The sequence below is a fragment of the Homo sapiens genome, chromosome 1 (assembly GCF_000001405.40).
Source record: "Homo sapiens chromosome 1, GRCh38.p14 Primary Assembly".
In the NCBI taxonomy this organism is placed as follows: domain Eukaryota; kingdom Metazoa; phylum Chordata; class Mammalia; order Primates; family Hominidae; genus Homo; species Homo sapiens.
Window position 1 is genome coordinate 101,644,305 of NC_000001.11, and position 25,449 is coordinate 101,669,753.

At 35.4% G+C, this 25,449-nt stretch overlaps 1 long non-coding RNA gene across 7 annotated transcripts in view, besides 1 other annotated feature; it reads left to right on the plus strand.

Annotated features, from left to right (window-relative positions):
• LINC01709 (long intergenic non-protein coding RNA 1709) overlaps nucleotides 1–25,449 on the plus strand; it is a 147,996-nt gene that overhangs the window by 4,731 nt on the left and 117,816 nt on the right. For 4 of the 7 annotated variants that reach the window (NR_183474.1, NR_183476.1, NR_183470.1 and 1 more), the window contains one exon: nucleotides 1,950–2,048. The exons of the other annotated variants lie outside the window; for them this stretch is intronic. This is a non-coding gene — a long non-coding RNA (long intergenic non-protein coding RNA 1709). The remainder of the gene's footprint in view (nucleotides 1–1,949; nucleotides 2,049–25,449) is intronic. 7 annotated transcript variants of the gene reach the window in all.
• Nucleotides 19,760–20,959: an enhancer, noted in NCBI's record as "CDK7 strongly-dependent group 2 enhancer chr1:102129620-102130819 (GRCh37/hg19 assembly coordinates)". NCBI's record gives its function as "activates an origin of replication core promoter dependent on BRD2, BRD4, P300/CBP, MED14 and CDK7 cofactors, with strong dependence on CDK7, by STARR-seq in HCT116 cells {active_cell/tissue: HCT116}" and the evidence as "EXISTENCE:reporter gene assay evidence [ECO:0000049][PMID:35650434]".

Below are 25,449 nucleotides of genomic sequence, written 5' to 3' on the forward strand. Positions count from 1 at the left end.
GCGAGTCAATACTCCTTAATAAACTCCTCTACATATATGCACATCTATGCTATTAGTTCTGCCCCTTTAGAGAACCCTGACTAATACAGGGATCAAAAGGGGAGAAAAACAGCCTGTTTTTATAGGAAATAAAGGTTAGTAGTACATGGTCTTATTCCTCTGGATACTGGAAGTCCCTGAGCAACTCTGCTACATGATAGATTTGGGTTCCAAAGACTATAGGCTCCAAAAACAAACAAACAAACAAACCCAAAGACTACAGGCTCTAAAATGTCCTTCGTCAGAAATATCAGAACCTTTTGAGGAAAAGCAGCTGCAGCAGCAGCAGCAGCAGCCATGCAATAACAGTAACAACAACAACAACATGTTCTGGGTTATTCTGACTAGGTACTGCTACTGTACCAAGTTATTTTGATTTGTAACCAAATTTAAGAATTGCCAGTGAGACTATAACCGTACTGATTTCTCCTCAACTCCTTTTTTACTTCTTTTTCTCTCTATCCACCTCTTTTTCTTTCTCCCCTGAAGGTACCAAATGCAACTCCACACAATTACTTCTTTGTTTTTTATACTCCTTGGGATATATGTGATATAATTGTTATTTAGTTTAGTGCTCCAGTTGTTCATAAGGACCTCAAAGACTAATGTACATGTTTAGATATAGCTACACAAAAGCAAAGTATCCAAAGTTTAAGTCAATTCTCCATCTGAACTGCTAATTGGAATACTTCTCTGGAAAGGGAAAGATTCACATTCTCCTTTGGCTGGCAGTTGGCCAGAGATGAAGATGTGAGCTTTGGACAAAGTCAACATTCTTGGCTCCTATTGCCTAGGTTTTCACTGGACCATAGTTATAATCTCATATGTCAATGGTGTGTGGTCCTATCTCTTCTTTGAGTGTGTTTTTTATATTTTAAAAATATTTTGAGCAGGTGCATGTTGAAAGGACTTTGTGGTTAAAGATTGGAAGTTAAGTTGGTGTTGCTTATAATTAATTGAGCATGTAGTACCAGAAGGTAGATAACAATTGGGCTACAGCAGAGGTTAACTTGCACTTTTTTTTTTTTTTTACAGTTTACAATAGATATAGACATTAAAGCTAAAGGATTATCAGAATTTAACTTCTGTTCAGATAGTTGACAACAGTTCCCTATGATAACTATGCTAATTTATAATTTCTTAAATACATAGTCTTTAGCATTGGCTCACATATGCCTTCTATTTGTGAATGTACTGAAAGCACATCATCTCATAAAACTTTAAAAATAATTGTTTTGACTCTGGAGACTTAGTAAATATAATTCAAACCGAAGGATTTTTAAAAAACTTTTTTCCCTCCTTTCTGGGGATGTTTTCTTGAGTTTGAAGAAGGTTAATTGCTAATTCTTTAGCATCCAAAGTGGCAGCTTCCTTATTATAATGCTATATCATACACTGGAATGCCCCTTATCTGACATGACTGACTAATTATTAAAATACTTAATTTTTTTTCTCCAGCTGTTTGGTTTCTGAGTAAACAAATTGCTAAGTTCGATTGGCTTCCATTTGCACTTCATTGCTTCTTGACAGCAAATACTCCAAAAAATGAGTTGCCTCTGGGTGTTTATAATCTCTAAGGGCAGAAGAAACAAATGTGTGCATGATTTTGCTAATTTGAAAACTAAAAACCACCCTCATTAAAAATCTAACACACTTTAAAACTATTGCACAATATGATTTCTTAAACTTTGTAAAGACAGTGTGTGTTCCTAGAATCCCCAAATTCATTAATTTGATATTGTAAGATGTGATTTTATTAAATGAAAGCAAAGGCGTTATCTTCAAGGAATTGATGTATTGATGGCATACAAATATAGTTGTATGCAGACAATTCAGAATTGCCTTCATTCTGATTAGCCAGAGTTACATGATTAAAAAGTTAACTGGAGTACTGATTTACTTTCTAACAGATTTAGTTCAGCCTGGTGTGGATGCATTTCAGAATCTGTGAAAAATGGAATCACAATGCTGTGACAGCAGCATTTCTGCCTGTGGTATCTGTGAAGCAGGTATTGTAACACACATCAGAATTGTAATTTGGTCACAGATTTGGTGGTTTCTTCAGCTCCCATGACCAGATTTATTTGTAGAGTTTGGACTTTTTTTGTTTCTGTCATGCCTCAGGGAAAGGATGACACACAATGTAGAGTTCAATATATACCTGTCCCTTAGAATCTGTGGAGAATTAGTTCTAGGACCCCTGCAGATACAAAAATCCCCTGTGATTCTCAAGTCCTTTATATAAAATGGTATACTTGCATATAAGCCATGCACATCCTTCTGTATACTTTAAATCATCTCTAGATTATTTATAATACTAGGTAAATAGTTGTTACACTGTGTTTTTATTAGCGTTATTTTTAAATATTGTATTATTATTTTTTATTTTTCCAAATATTTTCCATCTGTGGTTGGTTGAATACACAGATGCAGAACTGGAATATGAAGGGTAGACTGCAGTTTTATGTAAGAACAAGATTGTGAAAAGAAAAAGAAATTGGAAATATACCTTAGACAGAAATGTACTTATTTCATTCTGTAGATGACAAAGTGGTCAGAAGGCTACTCTTTGAAGTTGTATAAACAACTTCAAAGATTGTTGAAACTTTGAAGATTCAAAGATTGGGTTAGAGACCCAGGGCTACCAGTTTTTAGCTCAATGATGTTGAGCAAGTTACTAGCGTGTAATAATAGTATCTACCTCCTTAGGTCACTGTGAAGATAATGTCAAATATTGCATATAAAGTGATTAACCCAGAACCTGACAGAGACTAAGGTTACAGGAATTATTTATTGTTATCATCATCATAATTATTGTTGTTGCTAATAGATGCCATACATTACATGTGAAAAGTCCACTACATGAATGCACATGAGGTTTTTCTTATTCTTTGTTAGGTCTTTAAGTATCTATGAAATGAGTGTCAGGGCTACAAACCACAGTGTCTCCATGAATTAAAGGTTAAGACAGCAGTACCAGAGTGGATTCAGGATAGGCTTTAAACTTTGGGAAGGCAAAGATTCACCTTGATAATAACAATGAAAATTCTTTTAAATTTATATAAATATGTTTTATTTCACCTTTTTTACAGCCATATGAGTTAAGGGTTATCTTGTCAATTTTTAAGTAAACTGAAGTTTTAAGATGCTAAATTACCTGCCTAAGATCATGCAATAGGCAAAGCTAAAATTTGAATTTGGATTTGGTTGACTTCAGTGAAAAGATCCTTTTTTGTTCCTTCCTTTTTTCTTTTCTCCCTATCTTCCTTCCTATCTTCTTTCCTTCTCTGTTTTCTTTTCTTTTTTCATTTTTTTTATTGATATGTAATAATTATATGTATTTATGAAGCACATGTGATATTTTGATCCATATATATAACATGTAATGATCAAATTAGGGTAATTGAGATATCCATCATCTTAAGTATTTATCATTTCCTAGTGTTGGGAATACTCAAAATCTTCTCTTGTAGCTATTTTGAAGTATACTATGCATTCTTGTTAACTACAGTCATCATACTGGGTTATAAAACACAAGAACTTATTCCTTTCATCTGACTATTTCTATACCCATTAGCCAGTCTTTCTTCATCCCTCTCTTCTCCTTCCCCTTCCAAAACTTTGGCAACTACCATTCTACTCACTACCTCCATGATATCAGCTTTTTTAGTTCACATGCATGAGGAAAAACATGCAATAATCTCTTTCTGTGCCTGGTTTATTTCACTTCACCTAATGTTCCCCAGACTCATTTGTGTTACTGCAAATGACAAAATTTCATTCTTTTCTTATGACTGAATAGTATTGCATTATGTATATATACCACATTTTCTTTATCCATTCATTTGTTGGTGGACGCAAGTTGATTCCATATTTTGACTATTGTGAATAGTGTGCTGCAATGAACATGGGAATGCAGGTAATCTTTTGACATACTGATTTTCTTTCCTTTGTATGTATAACTGGCACTGGGATTATTGGATCTTATGGTATTTCTATTATTAGTTTTTTGGGAAATCTTCATACTGTTTTCCATAATGATTATATGAATTCCCACCAACAGTGTGTGAGAGTTCCCTTTTCTCCCCATCCTTACTAACATTTTTTATTTTTTGTCTGTTTGATAATAGCTATTTTAACCTGGGTAAGATAATCTCATTATGGTTTTTATTTCATTTCCCTAATATTTAGTAATGTTGAGTATTTTTTCATATACTTGTTGCCTATTTGTAGGTCTTCTTTTGAAAAATGTCTATTCAGATCATTTGCCCATTTTTAATTGGATTATTTGTCTTTTATGTTGTTTAGTAGTTTGAATTCCTTATATATTCTGCTTATTGAACCTTTGTCAGAGGAACAGTTCAGTTTGTAAACATTTTCTCTCATTCTGTAGCTTGTCCCTTCGCTGTGTTGATTGTTTTGTTTCCTGTACAGAGCTTTTTAGCTTGAAATAATTGAATTTGTCTATTTTTGGTTTGGCTGTCTATGCTTTTGAGGTCTTAATAAAAAAAATCTGCCCAGACCAACATCCTGAAGCACTTACTCAATGTTTTCTTCTAGTAGTTTCATAGTTTCAGGTCTTACATTTAAGCCTTTCATCAATTTTGATGTGATTTCTATATGTGGTGAGATATATGGATCTAGTTTTATTCATCTACATATGAATATAGTTTTCCCAGACCATTTTTTGAAGAGACTGTCCTTTCCTCGGTGTGTGTTCTTGGTCCTTTGTCTAAAGTGAGTTGGATGTATTAATAAATAAATAAATTTATTTATGAGTTCTTTATTCTTTTCCACTGATCTCTGTGTCTGCTTTTATGTATGCCATTACTGTGTTTATTTGGTTACTATAGCTTTGCAGTATATTTTGAAGTCAGGCAGTGTTATGCCTTCAGTTTTATTCTTTTGGCTCAGAATTGCTTTGACTATTTGGGGTCTTTTGTGCTTTCTTACAAATCTTAGAATTGTTTTTTCCTATTTCTGTGAAAAATATCATTGGTATTTTGATAGGGATTACACTGATTCTCTAGACCACCTTAAATAATATGGACCTTTTAACAATATTAATTCTTCCAATCCATGGATATAGAAGGGATTTCCATTTATTTGTGTCCTTTAATTTCTTTCATTATGTTTTGTAGTTTTTATTGTAGAGATCTTTTACCTCCTGATTAAATTTATTACTAGGTATTTTTTTGTAGCTATTGTTAATGGGATTGCTTTCTTGATATTTTCTGATTATTCGCTAACACATATAAATGCTACTTATTTTATGTGTATTTTATATCTGGCAACTTTACTGAATTTGTCTATGTGTTCTAACAGTTTTTTGGCTAAGTCTTGAGGATTTTTTTAAATATAAGATTATGTTTTCTGCAAAAAAAGACAAATTGATGTCTTTCTTTCCAATTTGGATGCCCTTGATTTTTATTCTCTTGGCTAATTTCTCTGGGTAGGACTTCCAGTACTATATTGAGGGAAAGTAGTGAAAATAGAGATTCTTATTGTGTTCCAGACCTTGGAGTAAAGGCTTTCAATTTTTCCCCATTTAGTATGAAGTTAGCTGCGGGTTTGTCATATACGACCTTTATTGTTTCAATCTATGTTTCTCTTATATCCAATTTTTTGAGAGTTTTCCTCATGAAGAGATGTTGAATTTTATAAAATGATTATTCAGCATGGATTGAAATTATTATATTTTTGTTCTTTATTCTGTTAATGTGATATATCATGTTTATTGATTGATGTGTGTATGTTGAACCATGCTTGCATTCCTGGCTGAATCCTATTTGATTATGGGGAATGATCTTTTTGATGTGCTATTGAATTCAGTTTGCTAGTACTGAGAATTTTTACTTTTATGTTTGTTCATCAGGGATATTGGCCTGTAGTTTTCTTTCTCTCTTTTTTTTTTTTATGTTCTTACTTGGTTTTGCTATTAGGGTAATGATGGCTTCAAAGCACAAATGTGAAAGTATTTTCTCCTCTTCAAAGTTTTTGGAGTTTAAGTAGAATTGGTATTAGCTCTTTAAAAGTTTAGTGGAATTCACTAATAAATCCAGCAGGTCCTGGGCTTTTGTTTGGTGAGACAATTTTTATTACAGCTTTGATCTTATTATTTGCTATTAGTATGTTCAGATTTTCTATTTATTCATGGTTCAATCATGGTAGGTTGTATGTGTCCAGAAGTTTATTTGTTTATTCTAGGTTTTCCAATTTATTGGCATATTTATTGTTTCTTTATTGATTTTTTTTTTTTTTTTTTTGCCTGGATGGTATGCCCATTGCTAAAAGTGGGGTGTTGAAGTTCCCTACTGTTATTGTATTGCAGTCTGTCTCTCCCTTTAGATCTATTAATGTTTGATTTACATATTTGGATGATCCAGTGTTGGGTGTATATATACTTACAATTGTTATATTTTTATTATGAATTAACTTTTTTGTCATTATATAATAGTAATCTCTACTGATCATTTTTTATGTCTGTGCTATCAGTTGTAATGTCTCTTTTTCATCTCTGATTTTATTAATTTGGGTCTTCTCTCTTTTTTTCTTAGTGTATGTAAAGTTTTGTTGATTTTGTTTATCTTTTCAAAAAACTAACTTTTTAAAATTTATCTTTTGTATTGTTTTGTAGTCTCGATTTCATTTATTTCTTCTGTGATCTTTATTATTTATTTTCTCCTACTAATTTTGAGTTTGGTTTGTTCTTGATTTTCTGGTTCCTTAAGGTGAATCATTGTCTTGCTTATTTGAACTGTTTCTGCTTTTTTAATGTAGATGTTTATTGCTATAAACTCCTCTAGTACTACTTTTGCTGTATCTTGTAGTTTCTGGTATGTAGTGTTTCAATTTTTCATTTATTTCAAAAACTTTCAAAGTTTCCTTCTTAATTTCTTCTTTGACTCATTGGTAATTCAGGAACATGTTGTTTAATTTCTATGTATTTGTAAGATTCCTAAAGTTTTTCTTGTTATTGAATTCTGTTTTTACTCAATTGTGGTCAGAAAAGATACTTGATATGATTTAAACTTTTTTGAATTTATTGAAACTTGTTTTGTGGCCTAACATATGGTTATTCTGCAGAATGATCCATGTTCTAATGAGAAGAATATGTATTCTGTAAATGTTAGGTCCTTTTGGTTTAGAGAATAGTTGTAACTTAAATGTTTCTTTGTTGATTTTTTTTTTTTGTCTGGATGGTATGTTCATTGCTAAAAGTGGGGTGTTGAAGTTCCCTGCTATTATTGTATTGCAGTATATCTCTCCCTTTAGATCTATTAATATTTGATTTATATATTTGGATGCTCCAGTGTTGGGTGCATATATATTTATAATTTTTATATTTTTATTATGAATTGACTCTTTGTCATTATATAATGACCTTTTCTGCCTTTTTTCATAGTTTTTGAGGTAAAGTATATTTTATCTGATATATGTATAGCTTTTCCTTCTCTTCTTTGGTTTTAATTTATATTGAATATCATTTTCCATCCCCTTACATTCAGTTTATGTGTTTCTGTACAGATGAACTGAGCTTTTTGTGGGCAACATATTATCAAGTCCTTTTTTTTAAATCTATTAATCCACTCTGTGTCATTTAATTGAAGAATTTAGTCAATTTGCATTTAATTTTATTATTGATAGGTAAGTACTTACTACTGCCATTATGTTACTTGTTTTCTGGCTCTTTTGTTACTCCTGTATTCAATTCTTCTTTTCCTACTTTCTTCCTTTGTGGTTAAGTGATTTTCTCTGGTAATATATTTTAATTCACTACTTTTTATTTTTAGTGTATCTCTTAGAGGTTTTTGCTTTGTGGTTACCATGTGGATTACAGAAAAACATCTTTTAGTTATGAAAAGTAAAATAATAATGATGCGTTTGATCTAAAAAAATAAAAACAAATAATAAACTATAATACTACATATTTTATCTCAATTTCCACAACACTTTGACTTTTTGTTGTCTCAATTTATGCATTTTTAACATGGCTTATCTCTTATATTGTGGTAGTTATTATTTCTGATAGATTTGTCTTTTTATCTTAATACTAAATATATGAGTAGTTTACATATCACAATTACAGTATTAAACTATTTTAATGTGTCTATGTACTTACTTTTACCACTGAGTTTTATACCTTCAGATTTTTTCTTGTTGAACATTAGCATCTTTTTCTTTCTAATTGAAAAACTTTAACATTTCTTCTAAGACAGGTCTGATGTTGATTAATTCAGCTTAGTTTTTTCTGAAAGTCTTTATCTCTCCTTCATATGTAAACGATAGTTTTGCTGAATACAGTATTCTTGGTGGACAGTTTTACTGCTTTCACACTTTGAATGTGTCATCCCACTTCCTCCTGGCCTGTAAAGTTTCTGCTGAGAAGTCTATTGCCACATGAATCAGAGCTCCCGAATACGTTATTTGCATCTTTTTCCTTTAGAATCCTCTCTTTGTTCTTAACCTTTCTGAGTTCAATCATTATATGTCCTGAGGTATACTTATTTGGGTTGAATCTCTTTGGTGACCTTTGATTTTCCTATATCTAGATACTTATATCTTTCTGTAGGATTGGAAAGTTTTATTTTATTATTTCTTTGAATAAACTTCTGACTCCTTACAATTTTTCAGTTCCCTTTCAAAGGCCAGTCACTCTTAGATTTGCTCTTTTGAGATTATCCTCTAGCTCTTGTAAGTATTTTTCATTCTTTTTTCCTCTGACTGTGTATTTTCAAATCTCCTGTCTTTGGGCTCACTTATTCTTCTGCTTGATTAATTCTAATATTAAGATCCTTCAATAGATTTTCCAGTTTAACTTGTATTTCTTACCTCCAGTATATCTGTTTCGTTTTTAAAAATTATTTCAACCTCTTTATTAAATGTATTTGATAAATTTCTGAATTGCTTTTCTGTGTTACCTTGGAGTTCACTGAATTTCCTCAAACCTGTTATTTTGAATTATTGATCCAAGAGCTCACACATTGTCATTTCATTGGGATCAGTCACTGCCTTCTTGTTTTTTACATTTAGGGAGTTCATGGTTCCTCATTTGCTCTTATTTCTTATAAACCTCTGTTTATATCATTGCACTGAAGGATTAATCATTTACCTCCGTCTTTACTGTTTGGCTTGATTTATTTTTTCTAGTGCATGTCTCTGCATAGGTATTGTGTTGATTGAGTTCCCCTGGCCCGAGATTGCTGCCTCTTTTATGGCACTAGATGGCTCCCTAAGCCTAGGTTTGCCGTGGCTCTTGCAAAAGTTAGTCTGCCCTTCCTGAATATTGGGGGATCCCAAAGATTACCCCTGGCTTTTCGGGAAGGCTGGCTAGATGTTTGTGGCCAGAGGACCCATGGAGCATGTACCCTACAGTATTATGCTGCTAAACAGCCTCCCTGATTTTGCCAAGTCAGAGAATAGCCACCTTTTTTTTGGCCAAGTCAAACAATAGCCACCACATTTTATGAGCTGAATGTTACTAGCCCCACCCTACTCTTTTTCTCTAGCTGCCCTCAGGAATTTTTGCCCTACAGGCCATTTACAATGCTTCCCATGGGTTGTGGCAGGAATGGTTATCATGCAAAACACAAAAACAAAAACCCCAAGATGATGGGGAACTTGGCTGTCTGCCTTGATTTTACTTTTCCCAGTGTAGAAACTGGAGTGTAGGGTGACTTTTCTGTGTGGTACCTAGCAGCTTCAGGAAGGGGCATTGCAGTTAGAGTGGTCCATTTCTTTTATCATCTGCTGGCAGATTTTCGCTTCTTTGTGATCCCAGTGATTGTCACAGACTTAATTTTGAGTTCTGAGATATTTCTGGTGATCACCTTGGCACTAGGTGGTTGGTTTTGTTTTTGGAGGGGGAGAACAACCAAGAAAGCCAGATCGCTTCTACTCTTTTATTTTGGTGATCTCTCTCTCTCTTTCTCTCCTATGCATCACTGTCACTTTTGATATAGAGTTTTTGAAACTGTCTTCTGACATTGTAATTTTTCTGATTAATAGCATAATTGTTTATGTTTGATAAGTTAAAATATAGAAAAGCACAAAATGATAAAAAGATAATCTGCAATCTTAACATCATGAGTTAGTCACCCAACCATTTTAGCGTTTATCTGCCAATCTCATAATTAACTAGTTGCTCCTTTTTGATGCATTATACTTTTAGCACATAGAGAAACTAGTTTTTGGCCCCTCTGAGCTTTTCCAGACCCCCTTTATGAAACCCTTTGGTCCTCGGCCTTGGTTGTTGGTACTGGTACAAGAAGAGGCATTTTTCCTTTGTTTTCAGTTTGCAGAACATCATGCTGGCAAGTGTCAAAGATAAAGTGGTAAGGACAAATGTTTTTCATCAATAACCTTTGGTAAAGAAGAAAAAATACTGTTTTTCCTCTACCCCTCTTAGGTTCATTGGCTGGAGCCTTGAGAATTAGACTGACAAAAGACAGATAAATAAACAGATTTATCAACAAATGTATGTGCATACCCATGGGAGTACTCAAACATGAGTAATTGAAAGAGGTGGTGCTACGGTTTGAACACTTCTGTTCCCTCTAAAATTAATGTTGAAACTTAATCCCCAAGGAAACTATATTAACAGCGTGGGCCTTTAAAAGGTAATTAGATCATGAAGGCTCCACCTTTATGAATGAGTATAACCTCATAAAGGAGATAAAGATAACTAGCTTTACCATTTTTGCTCTTTGGCCCTTCTCCACATGGGGACATAACATTCACCCCTTCAGAGAATATAGCATTCAAGTTGTTATCAAAAAACATCTTAGACTTCCCAACCTCTGGAGCTGTGAGAAAATAAATTTCTTTTCTCTAGCCAGTCTGTGATATTTCATTATAGCAATATTAATAGACTAAGACAGGAGTTAGAACTTGGGCTTGTGTAGGATCCCAACAAAAGAACAATACACATTTAGGGAATTGAGAAAACAAAAATAAAAGGACATAGAGTTTCTAGAGTGGCAAATCATGAGAAGGTAAATACATGGGGGAAACTAATGGAAGATAGGGCTAGTTAGTAAAGTTTATTGTGGAGTGTCCTCTGTTGACTTCCAGCTGACAAGGGTCTAAAATAGTCTTTGGTGATTTACTTCTGTTCTTCCTGTTACAGAAAAAAGAGGGGACATCTTTATCTTTACAAATTTATATTTTGTCTTTAGGCAAATAGGAAGAAGGCAGAAAATTTTTCTTGTATCTGCTTTTTCTCAGTTGCCTTCAGTTCAAAATAATCCTCATGCTAAAGTAGCATATTTTGAAGTGGGATAGTCTTCTATCCTTCACGTTGCAATGGGGAAGAAGTTCCAGTATTAACTCAGCTTTGATTTGTACAGAGGTACTGGACATTTTTAAGGGAGAATGAGGGAGTGAGGAAGAGGAAAAAGTGGAGGCTTGAGCAGAAATCGTGTATTTAAATTGGTGCTTATCAGGAGGAGATGTGAACTTATATTTATGACAGAAGGTAGTGGTACATGTTGGAGCAAGATGCCCATCAGGCTGGGAGAGAGAGTCAGAGTTATTTCCCTGAAGTTTGCATTTCAAAGAGACAGATCTCAGGTTCTTGAGAAGAAAGTTCTAGATGGTGGGAAACATCAGTCTCAAAAGCAGAAAGAAAGTATTATATTTACAACTTCAAGCTTTCAAGAGTAACTGCCCTAAGAGAGTATTCAGAGACCTGTCTATTACCAGGTTTTGGCTGTAACAAACAATAAATTCCCCTGGAAGCACTGAGCTTTCTGAGGCAGACACCTTAAAGGGGGTTTGGGGATCAGGTCACCCCAGAAACTGTGGTGGTGTTTGTTCAAGCCTCTTAGTGTTGGGGCAGGAAAATAATGGAATCATTTGTGCTGAGAGGCTGCAGTTTTATAGCCGAATATTGAGGTCTGGCCTAGGAGGGGGTTCAGAGGATCTTGACTAGGTTTGAACAAGGAGAGAATCTTTGTCACAAGTAAGGGAATGGTTTGGCTTATAAGTACCTGTCTTTACAGAATATACGTCAATTGACCAAAGGGATGCCAATGAAAAGTTAAAAATTCTGTTAGTTAAAAAAAAAAAAACACATGTGTAGAACTGGGGAAAAGAAGAAAGAACCAGACCAGAAAATATTTCACTAAAGTCTAGATCCAATTAGCTATACTTAATTTGTCTATAGTTGGTATCTGATATAGATGATTAATTACATCATAAATATGAAAAGAGGGAATGCAGCCATGGTTGTATTGAGAATATATAATGGGAAGGGATGGGAAAGGTGAATGGTGCTGAAATGGGAAAATTTCCCTTATCCCCCTTGCAGGGTGTATGATGAAGGTGTGGCTCACTTATTTGATGCCCCGCAGCTCAAACTTCTAGGGGGAGCATGGAGATGGTCAGGTTGTGGGGCTCTGACCTCATAGCAGTGTCTAGGGGTGAATGTTTACGGCTCCTGAAGCCCCAGTGGGTGTGTGTTACAGTGTGCTCTTTTAGTTTTGCCGTGTGTAGGCAACTTGTATTAATCAGCTCAATTAGACCCTTATCACAAGGACAAAGGGCTTTCTGTATCCCAGAGTTCTTGCCTTGGTGTGCTGGAAAAAATCAGATCACACATGGGCTTGGAGAATGAATGCAAGAATTTATTGAATGGTGGAAGTAGCTCTCAGCAGATGGATGGGGAGCCAGAAAGGGGATGGAGTGGGAAGGTGGTTTTCCCCCGGAGTTCAGTCACTCAATGGCTGCACTCTCCTCTGACCACCCTGGGCAAATTCCCCTCAGCATCCACATTGTTCCACTGGTCGATGGCCTGCTGGTGTCTGCTGTTGCCTGTTGGTGTGCTCTTCTGTTCCTCTGCTCCTCTAGACGTCTAACTGCCTGTGTGCTCTTCTGCTGGTGTGTTCCTCTCGATGTCCAGCCACTTGTGTGCATGGCCACTAGAGTCTCAGGGTTTTTATAGGCACAGGATAGGGGGCATGGCAGGTTAGGGTGGTCTTAGAAAATGCAACATTTGGGCACAAAAACAGGAGTGCCTGTCCTCACCTAGGTCCGTGGGTACAAGCTCGAGGGTGGAGCCCTCGCCAGGGACCCTGCCCTTCTTCTCCCAGCATTTTTCTGCCCTTCTCCCATACCAGTGCCACTCTTCTGCAAACTTTGATGAGAGATAATTGTGGAGAATCTGTTTAATTTGGATCTTTATGGTCACCTATCTAAAGTAAGTCTGACCCTTGAAGTTAATCTCATCTCATAGGATTTGATCATTCAACAGAGAGCAAGGATCTCAGGTACGCACATGCATGTATGTGTGTATAGGCAAATGTATTCATAATGCCATTCAGTGTGTAAGTATCTATAGATAAATTATTATTTATATTTGTGTATATTTTTTGGCTCATTAAGGACCTTTTGGGGTTAGGGGACAAACCAGGCACTCTCTCTACTTATGTATATATTAAAAATTTTTTTTGTCACTTTTTTTAAAGTATCAAATATGTTGTTTCCTTTCTTTCTTTACAAAGAGTGTAAAATTCTTCTTCTTCTTCTTCTTCTTCTTCTTCTTCTTCTTCTTCTTCTTCTTCTTCTTCTTCTTCTTCTTCTTCTTCTTCTTCTTCTTCTTCTTCTTCTTCTTCTTCTTCTTCTTCTTCTTCTTCTTCTTCTTCTTCTTCTTCTTCTTCTTCTTCTTCTTCTTCTTCTTCTTCTTCTTCTTCTTTCTTTTTTGACAGAGTTTTGCTCTTGTTGCCCAGGCTGGAGTGCCATGGTGTGATCTTGGCTCACTGCAACCTCCACCTCCCGGGTTCAAGTGATTCTCCTGCCTCAGCCTCCCAAGTAGCTGGGCTTACAGGAATGTGCCACCACGCCTGGCTAATTTTGTATTTTTAGTAGAGATGGGGGCTAATTTTGTATTTTTAGTAGAGACAGGGTTTCTCCACATTGGTCGGCTGGTAGAACTCCTGGCTTCGGGTGATCCACCAGCCTTAGCCTCCCAAAGTGGTGGGATTACAGGCGTGAGCCACTGCGCCTGGCCAAATTATTCTTATTTTTTTTTCAATTTACACATTTCCTTAAAAAATGATCTTAAAGAACTTGTATATGCAGGACTTCATAACACACAGTGCTGACTGTGAGATCTGAGTGTGAAGCTAATTTTTCATCTCTTTACCTCAGCTTTTAGTCTTCTAAATCTATAAATGCTAAATGCTAGAATTTTAGTGTAGAATTGTCCTTGGGCATGGTTTGCAATTGGCTCCTACTTACACAGTGACACCTGAAATAGGGCCCAGGAAGATAGGAACATTGAATGATGGGTTTGGGTGATAAATTAAAAACTGGAGAAAAAAAAAAAAGGAAATGAGTAATGGTGAAAATTTTTTAAAAAGAAAAAATATATTTTATTTTCTTTCATCAGAAAGTATATTACCCTATATTAGGGCCAACATAGGAAGAGGAAATAATGATAACTATATAGATAAATCATGCACATTCCAGTGATATTTGATTAGTCTTAGTGTGTTTTATGGAGGATGCAGTGCTCTAGCCATCCTAGAATACTTACAGGTTCTTGAATGCTGTGTTTTCTGATCTTCAAGCCTCTATTTTCTCTCTTATAACTTCACTCATTCTTCAAAATGTAATTTAACTCCTTTAAAAGAAAAAAAACCTCTCTTCTTCTCTCTCTCTATATTCTCAAAGTTTAGCATCAGGCCAAGTACTTAGGGTCCAATAAATGTTAAAACTGTGGATAAATGATACAGAGATCAGTAGTGGTGGTGAGAAAATTCTCTTCCTTTACATTGAAGAAGGGCTTTGGGAAGAAGCATAGTTTCAGAGATGGGAAGGGGAACATGAATATTACATTCTTAAATATAAATTTATATTTAGAATCACATGAAACTAAAATTCTCATTAAAACAACTAGAATAAGGTGAATACTCAACTACATAACTATAACTATGTCTGCAAGACCAAAAAGTAAATTATTTGCATCAAGAAAAATGCAGATAACTCCTACTTTGTACCCGTTGATTAACTTCTCCCAATTTTTCCCAGTCCCAAGCCCCTGCCAACTGCTAATTCTACTCTGGACTTCTGTAAGTTCTACTTTTTAGATCTATAGATAAGCAAGATTATTTGGTGTTTGTCTTTCTGTGCCTGGCTTACTTCACTAAATGTAACATCCTTCATCTGTGTTATTGCAAATGATGAGATTTCCTTCATTGCTAATACTAAATAATATTTCATTATATATGTGTGTATATACATGTGTGCATGTGTGTGTGTGTGTGTGTGTGTGTGTGTGTGTAGTCCATTCTTCTGTTGACCGGCATTTAGGTTGATTCTATATCTTGACTTTTGTGAATAATATTGTGTTGAACATGGAGGTACTTTGAGATACTGATTTCATTTGCTTTGGATATATATCCAGAAGTGAGATTATTGAATCATATAGTAGTCTATTTTTAATATTTTGAGAAAAATACACGCTGTTTTCCATAATGGCTATAGCAATTTACATTTCTGTCAACAGTATACAAGATTTCCTTTTCTCCACATCCATGCCAATACTTGTGCTTTTGTCTTTATCTTAACCATTTTAATCATTGTGAGGTGATATCTCATGGTTTTGATTTGCATTTCCTGGATGATTAGGTATGTTGAGTATCTTTTCATATACTTATTGGCTATTTGTATGTCTTCCTCTGAGAAAAGTGTGTTCAGGTCATTTGCACACTTTTTAATAGAGTTATTTGTTATCTTGCTATTGAGTTATTTGAGTTTCTATATTTTTGGCTATTAACACATTATCAGATATATGGCTTGCAAAATTTTCTCCCATTTCTTAGGTTGTGTCTTTACTCCTTCAATCATTTTCTTTGTTGTACAGAAGCTTCTTAGTTTGATGCATTCCCATTTGTCTACTATTTTGCTTTTGCTGCCTGTGCCTTGGTGTCATATCAAAAAAGTTATTGCCTATCCTAATGTAAATAAGTTTTCCCCTATATTTTATTCTAGCAATTTTACAGTTAAGTCTTAAATTCATTTTGAGTTTATATTTGCATATGGTATAAGATTCCAATTTCATTCTTTTGACTGTGGATATCCAGTTTTCCCAGCACAGTATATTGAGGAGACTTTCCTTATTTTGTGTTCTTGGCATATTTATTGAAGGTAAATTGGCCATGAATGTGGATTTAATTCTGAGCTCTCCTATTCTGTTCCATTGATGTATATGTCTCTTTTTATGCCTGAACTATTCTGTTTTGGTTGGTATAGCTTCGTAGTACATTTTGAAATCAGATAGTTCGATGCCTCCAGCTTGGTTCCTTTTGTTCAAGATTGCTTTGGCTATTTGAATTCTCTTGTAGTTCCGTATGAATTTTAGGATTTTTTTCTATTTTTATTAAAAATGTCATTGTATTTTTATAGGGATTGCAAGACTCTGTAGCTTACTTTGAGTAGAATTGCCATTTTACAATGTTAATTATTCCAATCCATAAACATGAGAAATCTTTCCAGTTATTTGTGTCTTCAAAATTTATTTCATTAATATCTTGTAGTTTTCAGTGTACAGATCATTCAACTGCTTGGTTAAATTTATTCTTAAGCATTTTATTCTTCCATAATGCCATTGTAAAGGAGATTGTTTTGCTTTTTTATAGAGTCATTTTTAGTGTGTAGAAATGCAACATTGGTTTTTCTTTTTATTCTTCTGACTTGTTACTTTCAAATGACTTATCTTTTTGCTTGCTGATTCTTTCTTCTGCTTAAAGCTCTCTATGGAATTTTTCAGCCCAGTCATTGTGTTCTTCAGCTCCAGAACTATAATTTGGTACTTTTTTTCTAGTTTCTACCTCTTTGTTGAACTTCTCATATTATTCATTATTATTTTCCTTGTTTTGTCTGGTTGCCTCTCCAGGTTCTCTTACAGCTTACTGAGCTACTTTCAAATTATTATTTTTAATTATTTGTTGAGAAGTTTGTAAATCTTCATTTCTTTAGGATAAGTTACTGGTGCTTTATTTTGTTCCTTTAGTGATGTCATTGTTTTCTGATTATTTATGATCCTAGTGGCCTTGATGTCTGTGCATTTGAAGAACTAGGCACTTCTTAGAGTCCTTACTGACTGGCTTCAGTAGTTAGCCTATCCAGAGATTTTATGTGGGCCATTTAGTGGGTTCTACTGATTAGTCTGCTGCTGTTATCCTTAGATGGGGTGGCCTGGGTCCTGGGTCAGTGGGAAGGCAGGCCTAGCACCTGAGTCCACAGCAGCCAGCCTGGAGCCTGGGTCTGCAGAGGCTATACTGAAGCTTAAGTCTGCAGGTATGAACCTGAAGCTTCTGTCTGCATGGATAAACCTGGCGCTTGAGTCTGTGGTATGGGACTGAATTCTAGGTCCACAAGGGCCAGCCTGGTGATGGAGTGTGGCTGGAGCCTGGGTCTGAAGGGGATATCCAGGATTCTGGAGTTGTGGTTGCCTCCCCTTGCACTGGGGAGGCCACAACCCTGGGACCATGGGTGTTGGCCTGGTGCTGGGGTGGGCTTGGAGCCTGAGTCCACAGGGACCAGCCTGGCATTGGTTTACTGTCATGAACCTGGTGCTGGGGTCTGTGGGAAAGCTGACTTTTCACTTTATTCTTCTTTCCCTATGTGGATAGTATTTTTCTTTGCACTGTGCTGCCCATGCTGGGGGGAGTGGTGGTGTGTGTAATGTGAAACTGTCCTTTGTACACTTTTCAATGCATCTTTCCTTATTTCTGTGCTTCCCCTGGGTGCTGTAATCTCTCACCTAGATTTCCTAGCTGGTGTGAAGATAGTTTTATGCATAGGTACTTGTTCAAATTGATGCTTTTATAATGGGATAAGTGCCTCAAAATCTTATTCTGCCATGTTGCTGACATTTTCTATCTTTGCTTGAAAATTTTACTCTGCCACGTTGCTGACATTTTCCATCTCTACTAGTCTTAGGACTCTTAATGAGGACTAGGGACCTAAGAAGGAGGCAAAGTGGTTTAATAAAAAGAGAACAAGTTTGAATGTGTTCAAAATTGAAAACTCTTAAAATTAACTGAAAATGATAAAATGAGGCAATTTGTTGGGATAGAAAATTGTGAAATTAATTGGAACTTGGATCTATCTATAAATCTGAGATGGAAAATTATTAGTAAATATTTTCAGAACTAATTGCAAACATATTTAAAAACAAGAGACTGAAAACTAAGAATGACATATTGGGGAAGTATTTTTACACCTGAGACTGTAAAAGGAATAAATCATGGGACATATTAGTTCTGCCTCAACAATAAAGTTTATCACAGTGAAAAAATCTGTAGTTTAACTCACATAATAGTATTGGATAAGGCCATGAAGTAAGGTCTATTATTTCATGAGAAGTCAGGCATTGCTAAATAATTTAAGAGTTCAGAAGAATCAGAATTTCAGAGCTGAAATAAACCTTATGAATAATCTAATCTGGCTTCTTAATTTTATAGTTAAAGAAATTGAGGTTTAGAGAATAAAAAGAATTACCTAAGGTCACCTAGGGATTTATCAATAGAGTGGAAAGAAAGAGTCAGGACTTCAAGTTTTCAGCCTGGTGCCCATTTCTTGTGACAATATAACATGTTGAGCTATGTGTCAATAATTTCTTTACTAGAAATTATGTATGAAATTCAGCTGCTTCTTGGCTGAATAGATTTCCGTTTTTGGGAATGATGAGATACAATTACATTTAGCAAGTATTTATTCAGTACATCCCTGTGCTTGGCACTCCAAAAATTTGAAATATAGTGGAAGGTTCATTCCCTTCTCTAGTGGCATATGAAATTGCAAGTTCCTCACAAAAGTGTGAAATTTTTAGTATCTGGGTCATCTTACATTCACTGTGTTCTCAGTAATTATCATAGGTCCTGTTATATAATGGGTAGTCAAAAACTGCTCAATAACTCAACCTGGAGAAAGAAAACTGATATCTAGATCACCAAACCATGAGCATTAAATTGTTAACCAGAAAATTCTGAGCAACTGTAGTAAGAATAGGAGACATTAAAATGTGTTGTTCTTGTTTCTAAGCAATGAAAACCTTTTTTAAAAATACTGTACCTGGCTGGGCATGGTGGCTCACGCCTGTAATCTCAGCACTTTGGGAGGCTGAGGCAGGTGGATGGTGAGGTCAGGAGATTGAGACCATCCTGCCTAACACGGTGAAACCCCATTTCTACTAAAAATACAAAAAAATTAGCCGGGCATGGTGGCAGGCGCCTATAGTCCCAGCTACTCAGGAGGCTAAGGTGGGATGAATGGCGTGAACCTGGGAGGCAGAGCTTTCAGTAAGCTGAGATTGTGCCACTGCACTCCAGCCTGGGTGACAGAGCGAGACTCTGTCTCCAAAAAAAAAAAAAAACAAAAACAAAAAACCAACAACAAAGCAAAACAAAAAAACTGTACCCAATTTAGTATTTTCCTTCTCACAGTTTTTTTTTAAAGGAAAAAGATAGTGGCAATGGAAAAAAATTAACCTGGTGACCTCCACAGCATGGCAGGATACTGTGCTATGCTGAATGATAAGTAGAAGACTGAAAAATAAGCTATTTCCCAATAAAAAGTATCTGAAGTATAAAATTATCTATGAAGTATAAATTATCCCTCAGAATTTATTCCAACTTGAGGCAAGGGAGCTATATTCTCACATCATTTAGTTATTGGCTTCGGGTCATACCAGGATGACGGAAATATAAACTCCCAGGTATTTCCAGACCTCTGTGCAGTCAAAGTAGTTGTAATAGCTCAAGGGCAGCCTCTAAAGAGAACCACAATGAAATAATTTGTAGTACAAATAAAAGCCAAGGGAAGGATGCACAGAACTGGTAAAGCAATGGAATCTGAGCAGACCACAGGCAGTAGTATCTGCTATAGCAGGAGTCAGCAAACTTTTCCTGCAAAACCAAGCCATATTATATATTATCTCTGTTGCAATCATTGAACTCTGTTATTGCAGTGCAAAAGCTTCCAGAAACAATAAATGAGCAAATGAGCAGGTACGTATCCTAACAAAACTTTACTATAAATACTGAAATTTTAATTGTATGTAATTTTTACATGTCACAAGATATTATTTTTGCTCTGACTTTAAAAAGATGATTAAAAATACAAAAACCATTCTTAGCTCACAGGTTGTACAAAAACAGGCAATGATTCCAGGCTGTAGTTTGCTGACTGTTGAAACAGTACTATTCAAACTGCTTCATGTTTATTAGCTCATTTTTCTTCATAACAACTTATTGTATTATGACTATTATTTTCCCCATATTACAGACAAAGGGACTGATGCACAGATTGGTAAAATAACTGTAGGATATAATAAATTCCTCTTCAAAGGTTTTAGCCTGTAAATTCTTAAGTACAATGAGTTCTGAGATCCTCTCCAAAGACGCAATGTATCAGTATGTTCAGCTCCCCTCTTCTTTGTTCTTCATTTTAAAGTTTAACTTCCTCATTATCTTTGTCTCCTTGCCCCTAGTTTCAGTAAACAACCTCCTCCTAGCTTCTATCACCTGCTCCATCCTGAGTCACCCCTGGTCACCTGCTCTGACCTGAGTCATCCAGAGTCACCTGTTCTGTAACTGTCCTTCCGGCCAAACTACTCACCCTGCCACTCCAGCTTGTATCCTTGCTCTCTTTAAAATAGCCAATCATAATTAGCTTAGATTGTGCAGTCCAACCCAAACCCAAGCCAATAGGGGAATGACACAGCTGTAGGGGCTACCTGCATCAGGGATAAGAACGCCTTTCCCTCCCTTGTGCAGGTGTGCTCTTGCCATTGCTCCATCTGTGATGTGCACCCTTCTATAGAAGTAAAATTGCCTTGCTGAGAAAATTACATTTATGTTTGAGTGCTATTTCTTTCGTGGCACTGAAAGTTTATTTCTAACCAAGTCAACTTTTACTCAGCTAATAAGTAGCACAGCCAGGATTTGAGTACATGGTCTAGCTAGTCTATGCTCTTAATTGCTATACCACATTGTGCCTGACCTTAACAGAAATAAGCTAAAAAAAAGCAAAAATTCTATTATATAGATAACATAACCAACCTTCCTTTACTGATATTTCTAGAGCTGTATAGGAAGTGAACCTAAGAAAGAACAGAATCACACACCTTCTGGCTGCAATAACTGGCACATGGTATTGCATTAGGTCTTCACCTCAGTGTGCTGGAAGTCAATGATATGTCTTATTTTCAGAAAGCGGTTCATCTTTGGAGTAAAATAGCTTTATTGAAAGTTATGCAGTTCTCTTATTTGGAACAAAAAAAGGTATGTGGGCTATGTATCTGGAAAGGATGGAGTCTTGTCATATAAAGACAAGCTTTACTATACAACCAGCTTTACTTGAACGTATCCTAGCTTATATATTTTTTCCCGGTGCTATCATATATTGTATGGCTATTGCTTTAGGGACCTTGAGAACTGAAACATCTGCACCCATGCAGCTTTCTGTCGACATTAATGTGACTTTACTCTTCCACTGTTTCCAATTTCCAAGAAACTCTTGCCTAGGAAGACAAAAGTTGAAAGTAAATTTATTGTTTATTCCAGGAACATCCAGAAGAATTTATTTAAATGAATATCAAACTATTTAACTCTTCAATAGATAGGTTCTAATGATTGTTTAGTCTCCAAGACTATTTGAACTTGCCTGAAAAGCCTTGTCTTTGGACACATCAATACTAAACTAACACATTGTTACAAAATTTAACTAAGCTCATGAATTGAAAGGCCCACCTTAAACCAGAGTCTAAAACCCCACAAATATCCCAACTTTGTACTCCCTGCTCTGAGATACAACTATGACTTTGCTAAGGTAGTGCCTTCCTTTACCATGGTAAAATTAAACTCAGCCTTATCTTATCAAAAGTTGCTTTGATAATATTTCAGGGAGTCAGCACTTGACAATATCCTAGTTTTCTATATTTTTAATACTTTGAACTGTCTGTAGTTGAAGATAATACAGATGTTAACAGGTTCTCTGAGTTAGGAGCTCCTTCTAGGCAATGTTTTTATGAAGAGAATCTGGGAACTGAAATCTTCTTCCTGGCTGTAATGCAGATCTTCACCACTTCTGAGATTAAATGTACCTTCCATTAATGTGTAAATTACTTGGAAAGTTTTTATTAAGCAAATGGTGGTTTTTTTTTTTTTACAACTGCTGATGTTCTCTAATTGAGGAATTATGTTATTAGATTCAGTTGGTTTATGACAAAGGCCAGTGCATAGAAGAGACCATAAATGAATGTGCCCATCTTTATTTGGTTCCTGGGAAGCTAAAATTGAGGAGTTGAATCTTTCCCTCCCCATAACCTCTATTGAGAGAGATTCTGAGTGAATTCAAAATGCAGGAAGTTCACATTTTTATCAGGAAAAAAATCTGATAGTTTTGGTTAGACAAAAAGCCCTTAAAAATCTAATTAAGTCTTAGTTTTTGAAGAATAACTATGACATTTCTATTGAAGGCAACCCATGAAGCAATGTAATAGCCCAAACAGACAAAGGTTGGGAGCCTAATTTGGGTCAATTCTGGTCACAAATCAATTTTTATTTTAAAGATAGCCTGAAAATAACCTGAAATAAACTTATTTTATAAAGTAACTGTGAAAACTTATTGTTCCTTTTGCTGTATTTTTTATTGTGCTTTGGGACTTGGTTTACTCAGCTATAAAATTTTTAATAGAGTATTTCTTGCTTTTGCTTGGGAAACTAACAAGAATATGACACTTTAGGGGTTATTTGATGGAAAGGAGAAGAAAATCTTTAAAACTTGCTGAAGCAAGCTGTAGCTACTGTAGTCTAAATAAAGCTTCTCTTTGCTTTGGTTGTCTTCTACAAGGCAAGTAAGGCCCCTCTATTATTTATGTGCAAAGATTTGATGGAAGCCAACCTTTAAAATATTTCTACTCTACTAAGCTTAAATACTAACCATATTTGGGATTTGCCTAACACCTCTTCTCCAGAGGGTTTTAAATACATTTTACCGAGGATGTAAGTGATGATATACAAAACATTTTGCCTTTTTAGCCTGTCACACTCTGGGAGATCGGGAACAAACTTTTGAATACTGGAAAAAGCTATGTATGCCCTGAATTTCTAGTTCGTTTTACCTAATCAACCCAGTCAAGGTAGGCATGGGGAGTCAGTTCAAAACTCTCAATATAGTCTGTTGATTTTTTTTCATTCAAATAAGCCATGTTCCTGAAAGTCATAATTTATAATAAAATACACTTTTTGAGACAAAAGACAAACTTTATTAGTATGTCTAATTTTTTAGCATTCTTGAAAGAACTTACACTTTCTACTGCATAATGATGCAAATGTTGTTTTCTTAACGGTGGATAATTATTTGTGTTCTCTGGATAACACAGCACTGGAAAGTGGAGAGATAACTGAGTCAGGGAAGAATTCTGATGCTCCTGGGAACTCAGGGTCCAGATTTACATAAAAGGTTCTGTATTTATAAAAAAATTTATTGTATATCTTCCACATTTTCACAACTGTATGATAGGAAATAATGTTCAGTCAGCCAAGTTTTTATTGGCACGTTTCAGAGTGAAACTCAGACAATTTGCATTCATATTTTATTGACTATTCCGTAATACTCTGTATCTTTGAAATAAATAGGCCTTGGCATTCCATTTCCATCCTTATGCTAAACCTATTATTTTTCTGTTTTATTCCTTTTGGAAAATAGACTGTGACTTTCCAGAATTACTTTCTCAGTTTCTAAGGAAGCAATTTTTAAGGCTTCTTTTACTTTTTATATTTAAAGAAGTTTGTTGATGCCTTTAAACTTAAGTTCTTACAATGATTTACACTCTATACTCACCACATTTCTTGGTGGTATATAATTAACCATTTTGTTGGGCAGAGAAACACAAACTAGTAGAATGAAACTAGCTTGAGTTATAATTGCTGTGCTGTGCTAGTACCATTGGGTTAAGATTTTCTTTTTTTTTTATTTTTTTAAATTTTTAAATTTTATTATTATTATACTTTAAGTTTTAGGGTACATGTGCACAATGTGCAGGTTTGTTACATATGTATACATGTGCAATGCTGGTGTGCTCCACCCATTAACTCGTCATTTAGCATTAGGTATATCTCCTAAAGCTATCCCTCCCCGCTCCCCCCACCCCACAACAGTCCCCAGAGTGTGATGTTCCCCTTCCTGTGTCCATGTGTTCTCATTGTTCAATTCCCACCTATGAGTGAGATTATATGGTGTTTGGTTTTTTGTTCTTGGGATAGTTTACTGAGAATGATGATTTCCAATTTCATCCATGTCCCTACAAAGGACATGAACTCATCCTTTTTTATGGCTGCATAGTATTCCATGGTGCATATGTGCCACATTTTCTTAATCCAGTCTATCATTGTTGGACATTTGGGTTGGTTCCAAGTCTTTGCTATTGTGAATAGTGCCGCAAGAAACATACATGTGCATGTGTCTTTGTAGCAGCATGATTTATAGTCCTTTGGGTATCCAGTAATGGGATGGCTGGGTCAAATGGTATTTCTAGTTCTAGATCCCTGAGGAATCGCCACACTGACTTCCACAATGGTTGAACTAGTTTACAGTCCCACCAACAGTGTAAAAGTGTTCCTATTTCTCCACATCCTCTCCAGCACCTGTTGTTTCCTGACTTTTTAATGATTGCCATTCTAACTGGTGTGAGATGGTATCTCACTGTGGTTGTGATTTGCATTTCTCTGATAGCCAGTGATGGTGAGCATTTTTTCACGTGTTTTTTGGCTGCATAAATGTCTTCTTTTGAGAAGTGTCTGTTCATGTCCTTCGCCCACTTGTTGATGGGGTTGTTTGTTTTTTTCTTGTAAATTTGTTTGAGTTCATTGTAGATTCTGGATATTAGCCCTTTGTCAGATGAGTAGGTTGTGAAAAATTTCTCCCATTTTGTAGGTTGCCTGTTCACTCTGATGGTAGTTTCTTTTGCTGTGCAGAAGCTCTTTAGTTTAATTAGATCCCATTTGTCAATTTTGGCTTTTGTTGCCATTGCTTTTGGTGTTTTAGACATGGAGTCCTTGCCCATGCCTATGTCCTGAATGGTAATGCCTAGGTTTTCTTCTAGGGTTTTTATGGTTTTAGGTCTAATGGTTAAGATTTTCTGTTGCAACAAATATCAAAGCAAATCTCATCTCCTATAGAAAAATAGGCATGCAAGAGAAAAAGGGAAAAACATGGAAGAATTTCAACTTTGTTGAGTAATGTGAAGGGACTAGAGAAGTTTAGGACATGGTAACCACTTCTAAGGACCTTCATGTCTATTTGACTTCACCATGATTCCCCCCTCTATGAGTAAATTCATAATGTAAGAGTTGCATTTTGATTGGATTTGGCTTACACACTTGATTGCTCTTTGTTGAC